Source organism: Homo sapiens, chromosome 7 (genome assembly GCF_000001405.40).
Source record: "Homo sapiens chromosome 7, GRCh38.p14 Primary Assembly".
Classification (NCBI taxonomy): domain Eukaryota; kingdom Metazoa; phylum Chordata; class Mammalia; order Primates; family Hominidae; genus Homo; species Homo sapiens.
Window position 1 is genome coordinate 54,825,667 of NC_000007.14, and position 9,827 is coordinate 54,835,493.

Genomic DNA, 9,827 nt, shown 5'->3' on the forward strand with positions numbered 1-9,827 from the left:
GTTCTAGGAATCTCTGCTTTTCAAAAACTCTCCAGGTAATTCTAGCACAGTGAGTTGCTCCTCCACGCAGCCTCCGCTGCTGCTTCCTCTGGCTTCACATCACACCACCATAAGCCACATTTCTCTGCAGGTCAAAGATGAAGGTCAGTATGGCATGGTAAGGCCACACTGAATGTTTATAAAAAATATCTACTACTATTTGTATAATGTTTCTTTCAGTCTTGGTCCTTGGAAAACAAGTATCAGTCTGTCATTGTATTCAAAGGCAGAATTCAGTCTTAAATTTTGGCAAGAAGTTCAAAACTTGATAATACTCAGTTATAATCTAAACAATTAATTCACAGTGATCCTCAAGCAAAATGAATTGTTGTTACCTCATCCTGGTTAAGAAACATTATAAGGGATTCTATTATGATGCAAATTACTCCTTTAAAGTCTGTTTCCTTACAGAAATAAGCCTGTTTTGCCACTCCTATTCAACATAGTACTGGAAGTCCTGGCCAGAGCAATCAGGCAAGAGAACGAAATAAAAGGCATTCAAATAGGAAGCGAGGAAGTCAAATTATCTCTGTTCACAGATGGCATGATTCCATATCTAGAAAACCCCATAGTCCAGGCCCAAAAGCTTCTTAAGGCTGATAAACAACTTCAGCAAAGTTTCAGAATATAAAATTAATGTACAAAAATAAGTAGTATTCCTGTCCAGCAACAACATCCAACATGAAAGCCAAGTTAAGAACACAAGTCCAGTCATAGTTGCCACAAAAACAATAAAATACCTAAGAATACAGCTAACCGGGGAGGTGAAAGATCTCTACAATGAGAACTACAAAATACTGCTCAAAGAAATCAGAGGTGACACAAACAAATGGAAAACATTCCCTGCTCACAGACAGAAAGAGTCAATATTGTTAAAATGGCCATACTACTCAAAGTAGTTTACAGATTCAATGCTACTCCTATCAAACTCCAATTACCTTCTTCACAGAATTAGAAAAACTATTTTAAAATTCATATTAAACCAAAAAAGAGCTCAAATAGCCAAGGCAATCATAAGCAAAGAGAACAAAACTAGAGGCATCATGTTACCTGACTTCCAGCTATACTACAGGGCTACAGTAACCAAAACAGCATGGTACTGGTATAAAAACAGACACATAGACCAATGGAAAAGAACAGAGAACCCAGAAATAATGCCATGAATGTACAGCCATCTGATCTTCAATAAAGTTGACAAAAACAAGCAGTGAAGAAAGGACTCCTTGTTCAATGTTGGGATAACTGGCTAGACATATGCAGAAAATTGAAACTGGACCCCTTCCTTATACTGTATTCAAAAATCAACTCAAGATGGAGTAAAGACTTAAATGTAAAACCTAAAACTATAAAAACACTGGAAGATAACCTAGAAAATACCATTCTGGATAAGGGATTTTATCACAAAGATGCCAAAAGCAACTGCAACAAAAACAAAAATTGGCAAATGGGACCCAGTTCATCAAAAGAGCTTTTCTGTATAGCAAAGGAAACTATCAACAGAGTGAACAGACAACCTACAGAATGGGAGAAAATATTTTCAAACTATGCATCTGACAAAAGTCTAATATCAAGAATCTATAAGGAGCTTAAACAAATCAACAAGCAAAAAACAACCCCATGAAAAACTGGGCAAAGGACATGAACAGACACTTTTCAAAAGAAGACATACAAGTGGTCAAGAAACATGAAAAAAATGCTCAACATCACTAATTATTAGAGAAATGCAAGTCAAAACTACAATGAAATACCATCTCACACCAGTCAGAATGGCTATTAAAACATTAAAAAAATAACAGATGCAGGTGAGCTTGTGAAGAAAAGGGAATGCTTACAAACAGCTGGTGGGAACATAAACTAGTTCAGCCATTGTGGAAAGCAGTTTGGTGATTTCTCAAAGAACTCAAAGCAGAATTACCATTCAACCCAGTAATCCCATTATTGGGTATATATCCAAAAAATATAAATCATTCCATTATAAAGATAGATGCATGCATTTGTTCATCACAACACTATTTACAATAGCAAAGACATGGAATAAACCTACATGCTCATCCGTGGTAGACTAGATAAATAAAATGTGATACATATACACCATGGAATACTATGCAGCTATAAAAAGGAATGAGATCATGTTCTTTGTTGGAACATGGATGGAGCTGGAGGCCATAATTCTAAACAAACTAAAACAGGAAGTGAAAACCAAATACCATATGTTCTCGCTTATAAGTGGGAGCTAAACGCTGACTACACATGGACACAAAAAAGGGAACAACAGACCCAGGAGCCTACTTGAGAGTGGAGGGGCAGAGGAGGGTGAGGATTAAAAAATTACCTATCGGGTACTATGCTTATTACCTGGATGGTCAAATAATCTGTACATCAAACCCCCATGACACAAGTTTTCCTTTGTAACATGAACCTAAAATAAAAGTAAAATAAAACTAACTCATATAAACAAGTTTAAAAAAATGAGCCTGTTTTGAAGGAACTAGTTCCAAGTTCTTTACACACTGCTGCCATCATAAAGCATGAGAGAACGTAGCCTTCTTATTGAAGGAAAACTGAATGCCGAGTGTTGCTCCATTAATCGACAGGCCTTCCCAATTCAATTCTACATGACCACAAACATGATTCTCCAATTTGTCCTTTTTCTTCACATCTTCGCTTGCATTCTAACTACCTAGATTATTCAAAGAAACCTCTTATCCCTTTAAATGATTTCAGTTTCTATGACATTCTGAATTCTCCCTGCTGTGAATTAAAACTTGCCGAAGCAGAGCTCCATGCATGTTCCTCTCACACTTCAACACTCTCGACCTGTTTTACAATGTCATCTACCTTCCCATCCTCCAAATGCATTTTACAAATTTCAACCTCAGTGCTTTTGTTTTCAAATATTCCTGGCTTGTTCATTAGTAGTTCCAAAATTTCTATAAAGGAGAGACTCTGGGACAGTTCTGTGACTGGAAAGACTGAGGGTTGCTAGCTGGGGACTTTTGTGAAGATGGCATGTTGGTTTTATTTATACCGCAGTTCAGTTTTTTGGAGGGGGAAGTTGTGGGTATTATGATTATGTAGTGTAGGGATGGGGATGTTAAATTCTTGGCTACCAATTTTTTAAATCTCCCAAAATGCACTTCTTCATCCCATGACCTGTCCAATGTGTACTCATTTTATAGAATGGGCCTCATGTCTGAACTCCTTAAAAATTACTCTTGACAATCTCTGGTAACTTTCTTAATGCTTTTTGTTTTAGTCCCACATTAATTATACATGAAAATATGTCTGGGCTCTCCAACTACAGTCCAACTGGACTGAGCACAAGAAATACATCTGAACTGAAGTATCTATTTAGCATTTAACATGGTTCTGTTAAAGTAGCAGGCAGCTAACTGACATTTTTTGTCCATTCACTTAGATAACTAAAATTGTAATGGAAATAAATAAGTATGTGAAAGAAAGTAGTGATTGTCCAAAAGTGTCTTGAAGACATTTTGAGTCAGAAGACATGGGTGCAATTCTACCACTGTGACCTTTGCAGAGTGCTATAGTTTAGATGTTTTGTCTCTCCCAATCTCATGTTGAAATGTGATCTCCAATGTTGGAGGTGGGACCTGGCGGGAGGTGTTTTGATCATGGGGGTAAATCCCTCATGAATGGCTTGGTGCCATCTTTGAGTTCTCACACTATGAGTTCACAAAAGATCTGATTGTTCAAAAGAGCCTGGAACTACCTCCTCTCTCTTTTGTTTCTTCTCTTGCAATGTGACACACTGGTTCCCCTTTGCCTTCTGCCATGATTGGAAGCTTCCTGAGATCTCAGCAAAAGCAGATGCTAGTGCCATGCTTCCTGTACAGCCTGCAGAACCGTGAGCCAAATAAACCTCTTTTCTCTATAAATTACTCAGCCTCAGATATTTCTTTATAGTAACACAAAAATGGACTCATACACTGAGTTAGCCACATTTATTCCCAGTTTTCCAATGTTTGTGAGCCATACGTGTGATAAGGAGTTAATTTCCAAAATACTTAAGAAACATATTTGCTACAATATTTGCTAAAACTCAATAGCAAAAAAAAAAAAAAAAAAAAAAAAAAACAACCTGGTAGCACAATTTTTAAATGAGCTAAAGACCTGAATAGACATTTCTTCAAGAAAACATACAAATGGCCAACTTGTATATGAAAAGTTGCTCAGTGTCACTAATCACGAAGAAATTGCAAATCAAAACCACAATGTGAGATATCACCCTACTCCTGTTAAGATGTCTATTATCAAAAAAACAAAGACAACAAATGTCGGTGAGGATACAGAGAAATTGAATCCCTTGTACATAGTTGGTGGGCATGTAAAATTGTGCAGCCATAATGAAAAACAGTATTGAAGTGCCTCAAAAAATTAAAAATAGAGCTAACATATGATCCAACAGTTCAACTTCTGGGTATTTATTCAAAAGGATTGAAATAAGGATCTTGAAGAGAAATTAATACTCCCACGTTCATTGCAGCATTATTAACAATAGTCAAGATGTAGAAACAACCTAAATATTCATTGGAAGGTAAACGAATCAAGAAAGTTTGGTGTATACATTCAGTGGAATACTATTCAGCCTTAGAAAAGAAGGACATTCCGCAACATGTGAAAACATGGATGAACTTTGAGGACATTATGCTAAGTCAGTCACAGAAAGGTAAATACTGCATGATTTCACTTACATAAGGAATCTAAAACTGTCAATTTCATAAAAGCAGAGAGTAGAATGGTGTTTGCTAGGGGCTGGAGGGAGAGGAGAAGGGGAAGTTACAGTCCAATGGATATAAAATTGCAGTTTTGTGAAATCAATAAGTTATAGAGATCTGATGTACAGCGTCATGCCTACAGTTAACAATACTGTATTGTACACTTGAAATCTGTTAAGAAGGTAAATCTCATGTTAAGTGTTCTTATCACAAATGAAAAATAAAGGGGAATGAGGAAGACCTTTTCAAAAGTCTGGAATGAGGATAAAATGAGACTATGAATGGGAAAATACTGTGTAAACTGTAAAACTTTACACAAATGTTAATTCATAAAGCAGCCAGGACCATCTTTTTAAATCTAATAATCAGGTTGTCTCATTCGTAAGCTTAAAACTCTTCAAACATAATATTTTGCAATAATAAAAGGCTCTCTCTAGCCTCATCTGTCTTTCATCACCACACACACACATGCATGCACACACATGCATGCACACACACACGTACACATACATGCACACGGGTATTTCAGCAGTTTAGCCTCCCTTCCATTCTTGTAATATTTCAAGTCCCTTCTATCCCCGAGTCTTTCTTATCCTTCAGCTCTTAGATCAAACACAACCTCTACAGAGACCTTTCCAGACCATCCTATCTGAATAACCTTCTCCCACCCCTTGCCTACTCATTCATCATCTTGTTTATTACTACCTAATGCCACACTTTGAAATCATCTTGCTCAATTTTTTTTGTTTGTTTTCTTATTCATCATCGCTCCTGGCTCCGTGGGTTCAGGGTGTGGCCTGTCTCTCTTCTGTCCCCAGTATCAGAGCAGAATCTGGTACATGGTAGACACTCAGTACCTGCGTGTAAAAATTGAATGAGGATGTTAAGTGTTCCCACCACAAAAATGACAACTATGTGAGATAATGCAAGCTAGATTTAGCCATTCCACAATGTATATATACAGTAGTCCCTACTTATCCATTCCAAGAGGATACATTCCAAGACCCTCAGTAAATGCCTGAAACCATGCATAGTACCAAACCCTACATATACTTGCGAAAGGAAAACCAAAACTTAGGAACCTAATTTCACTCTGCTAAAAGAAAATATTAAGCTGAAAGCTGAGTCATGCAAGAAGCTGCTTTTCCTTTTATTCCCAAGCAGAGTAGTACAGATAAAAGGTTAAACATCTCCACAGGTAGCTACTGTACCCTCACCTTATCTTAAGTGAAGCGCCGATTTACTGAGAGCTAGAAGAACACATAATAGGCTATTCCCCTACCTGCTCCTTTTCTCTTGCAACACATGGATTCAGTCATGTAACCACAACTTCCCTCTTTCCCCTTTAAATACCAAAGCCCTCAGAATCGTCTTTGGAGCAAGGCACAGACCTCCCTTGCGGGCATTTCCTTAACCTTGGCAAAATTAACTTCTGAATTGATGGAGACCTTTCTCAGATACTTTTTGGTTTACACACTATACTTGGCAGTCAGTCTGATCACCAAGACAGCTAAGTGACTAATGGGCAGGTAGTGTATAACAGCCCAGGTACGCCGGACAAAGGGATGATTCACATCCTGGGTGTGATGGACGGGACAGTATGATATTTCATCACACTACTGAGAATGGCACACAATTTAAAACTGATTCTTAATTTCTGGAATTTTCCATCTAACACTTTTGGACCATGGTTGACCACAAGTAACTGAGACCGCAGAAAGGAAACTGCAGATAAGGGAAGACTACTGTACTTCAGAACATCATGTTGTTCATAATAAATACAAACAATTTTTCTGTCAACTAAAAAATAAATAAAAATAAAATGTTTACTACCATAAAAAGAAAATGTGATATACACATATAATGGAATATTATTCAGCCTTTACACGGAAGGAAATTCTAACACATTTCTGCAACATGGGTAAACCTTGAAGACATTAGGCTGAATTAAGTGCACCATTTGATTCAATACATATTCTTTTAAAAAATCTATTCCACGTCCTCTAAAATATACCATACAACTTTCAAACACTGAAAAAATACACAAAAAATATAAAGTAGAAAAGGTGTTAGGAGTTATCTTAGTGAGTATTTTTACAAAACAGTAGTTAAAAGATTATAGCAGATGGAAATAAAGTAAACAAAATAGCATTAAAGCATTTAAACATCATTAAAAAGATTAAATCATTGTTGGTTTTAAAATACACCTATCCTCTTTCTCTTTTCATAATATGTACCTCAAAAATACAATAAAATACTAGTAGAAATTATCTCTAGAAGTTGATATCACAGAAATTATTTTTGCCTTGAGTTTTTTGCGATGATAATGTATTACTCTTAAAATCAGAGAAGCTGTAATGCCATTTCAAACAAAGTAGAAAAGCCTCCCCATTCCCTGCCCCACCACTTCCCTCTTGCAATGCGGTTTTTCAATAGAAGCGCAGAGTAGAGGAAGGTGATCCTAAGGATTCTCCTCCTAAGAGGGCCAGGACTGCACCTCGCTGGCCTGGGGTTCACACAGGACTGGTCCTGGAGCCCTGCCTGCTCCATCTGGGGGAGGAAGCCCAGGACTGGGCTGCAGGTTTGTGAATAGGGGCACCGAGGCGTGCAGCGACGCTGAGTGACTCTTCCATAATGCAGGGCTGAGTGGGCAGCAGGCCAGACGTGGGTCAGGGAGCGTTCATCCCGAACCGTGTCCAGCCCTGGCCTCGCCGGCCCAAGTCGCCCGCCCTGTGCAGCCAGGGGACGGCGACGAGGCTGAAGTGCCGCTTGTTTCCGAGCCTGGATGAGTAATGACGCGTTTCTTTTCCAGAAGCAACGTAAATCTGGCTTGAGGCTGGCACAACACAGCAGGAGCAGTGCAGGCTGGTGGCCAGGCGCCCGGCCCTGCGGCTGCCGAATCTTCGCGAAGCCTGCATCCGAGGCGCGCACTGGTTCCAGGCCCTGCGGCCATGCGAGGGAAGCCGCAGCGGTGGCCGCAGCGGTGGCGGCTCCTAGAGCGGTGCGGGCTGGTGCTGGCGGCAGGTGGGATGGAGGGGGGTGGGCTCTTCATGTCTCTCAACCCCTGATTAGAATCCGTGTCGATTTCTGGACACGCGGGCCGAGAGGAGCTGAGATCCGGCCGGCATTTCTCAGCCATGAGTTCTTTTTTGTTTGTTTGTCTTTGTTTGTGTTTGTTTTGAGACGGAGTCTTGCTCTGTCCCCAGGCTGGAGTGCAATGGCGCGATCTCGGCTCAGTGCAACCTTCGCCTCCCGGGTTCAAGCGATTCTCCTGCCTCAGCCTCCTGAGTAGCTGGGATTACAGGCGCCTGCCACCACGCCCAGCTAATTTTTGTATTTTTAGTTGAGATGGGGTTTCGCTATGTTGGCCAGGCTGGTCTCGAACTCCTGACCTCGTGATCCGCCTGCCTCGGCCTCCCAAAGTGCTGGGACTACAGGCATGAGTAACCGCGCTTGGCAACCATGGGTTCAAAGCAGGCGCAGGGAAGCTTCCGGAGGGTGCCTGGACGGCAGCTAAATGGTTGGGGCCTGGCTCCTGGCTGACCCTGTCTCATCCCGGGTGGCCGGCTCCCACCCGTTTCTACAGGGCCGGCCTCCTGCCCTAGGATTCTGACTCTGCAGGCTTCCTAGCCCAGGATTCCTTTTTTTTTTTTTTTTTTTTTTTGAGACAGAGTCTCACTCTGTCGCCCAGGCTGGAGCGCAGTGGTGCGATCTCGGCTCACCGGTTTCACCGTGTTAACCAGGATGGTCTTGGTCTCCCGACCTCGTGATCCGCCCACCTCGGCCTCCCAAAGTGCTGGGATTACAGGCTTGAACCGCCGCGCCCGGCCCCGAGCCCACGATTCTAACACGCAGTGGAGGCTGAGAGCCTTGGCTGGGGCGCCCTAGCGTCAAGCTCACCATGTGGCCTTTGCGGCACGTCTGCTTCTCTCTGCCTGGACCGCTCGGGTTTGAAGGCCCAGGGCGGGCCCCAGACGTCTCAGGGGCCATAGAGGCGCTGCTTCCGGAACTGCTGGAAGAGGATGACCAACTGCTGCTGCCAGGTCGAAGCGTCCTTGCGGAGGGACCCTACCAGGAAGGACAGGGAGCCACAGCCCTAGTCCCCTCGGCTCTCCTCCCGCCTCCCAGTGCCTGGTCCAGTGTCCCAGTGGCGGAAGCGAACAGGGACCAATCCGCAAAGGAGAAATTGAGTTGGCAGTGACATTGCCGGAAAATCACTACTGCGGAGTGCGGAGAGGTGGTTTGGGGCTGATAGGCAATGGTTTAATTGCAGGCAGAGTCTTGCGCCTGATTTGCCTATCATAATGTCCTTGGTGGAAGTTATGGACTTCCACCCACCCTGCTCCCACCCTCAGTGTGTGCATTAAATTCAGAACTCTCACCAGGCCCTATGTTTGCTGTGTCCCCTGCCTCACTTCATGCCCTGTACAGTGACCTTCCGTCCTGTCCTCATGCTCACCGCACAGTCTTTGACCAGAGTTTTTGCATCCCCATCTCTGCAACTTCCCTCAAATCTGCTGCAAGGCAACACATCCTCTGCCTCCTTTAAATCCCGATTCAATCCTCACTGCCCCGACCTAAGTCAGTTCCGTCCATCATAAAGTCCCTTGACGCCATGCAGCAATTCAGCAATTCAGCATCATATTTATCAAGGAAGCTTGCTTGCATTTGTGAGATCCCTTTGGCACCTCCCTCTGCTAGAGGATAAATGCCAAGGTCGTGAACTGCCTCTCTCTCTCTTTTTTTTTTTCTGAGACGAAGTCTTGCTCTGTCACCTAAGCTGGAGTGCAGTGGCACGATCTCGGCTCACTGCACCCTCTGCCTCCCAGGTTCAAGCAATTCCCCTACCTCAGCCTCGGCAGTAGCTGGGATTACAGGCGCACACCCAGCTAATTTTTGTATTTTTAGTAGAGACGGGGGGTTTTACCATGTTGGCCAGGCTGGTCTTGACCTCAGGTGGTACACCCGCCTCAGCCTCCCAAAGTGTTGGAATTACAGGCGTGAGCCACCACACCTAGCCGAACTGCCTCTCTCTTTGCTGGCCTCTTA

General features: G+C 42.4%; 2 annotated features.

Moving 5' to 3' along the window:
* Window positions 5,151-6,350: an enhancer, noted in NCBI's record as "P300/CBP strongly-dependent group 1 enhancer chr7:54898510-54899709 (GRCh37/hg19 assembly coordinates)". NCBI's record gives its function as "activates an origin of replication core promoter dependent on BRD2, BRD4, P300/CBP, MED14 and CDK7 cofactors, with strong dependence on P300/CBP, by STARR-seq in HCT116 cells {active_cell/tissue: HCT116}" and the evidence as "EXISTENCE:reporter gene assay evidence [ECO:0000049][PMID:35650434]".
* Window positions 8,651-8,842: a silencer, noted in NCBI's record as "fragment chr7:54902010-54902201 (GRCh37/hg19 assembly coordinates)". NCBI's record gives its function as "represses an EF-1alpha promoter that drives an FKBP-Casp9 reporter gene in an ReSE screen in phorbol 12-myristate 13-acetate-treated (for megakaryocytic differentiation) K562 erythroleukemia cells {active_cell/tissue: K562(+PMA)}" and the evidence as "EXISTENCE:reporter gene assay evidence [ECO:0000049][PMID:32094911]".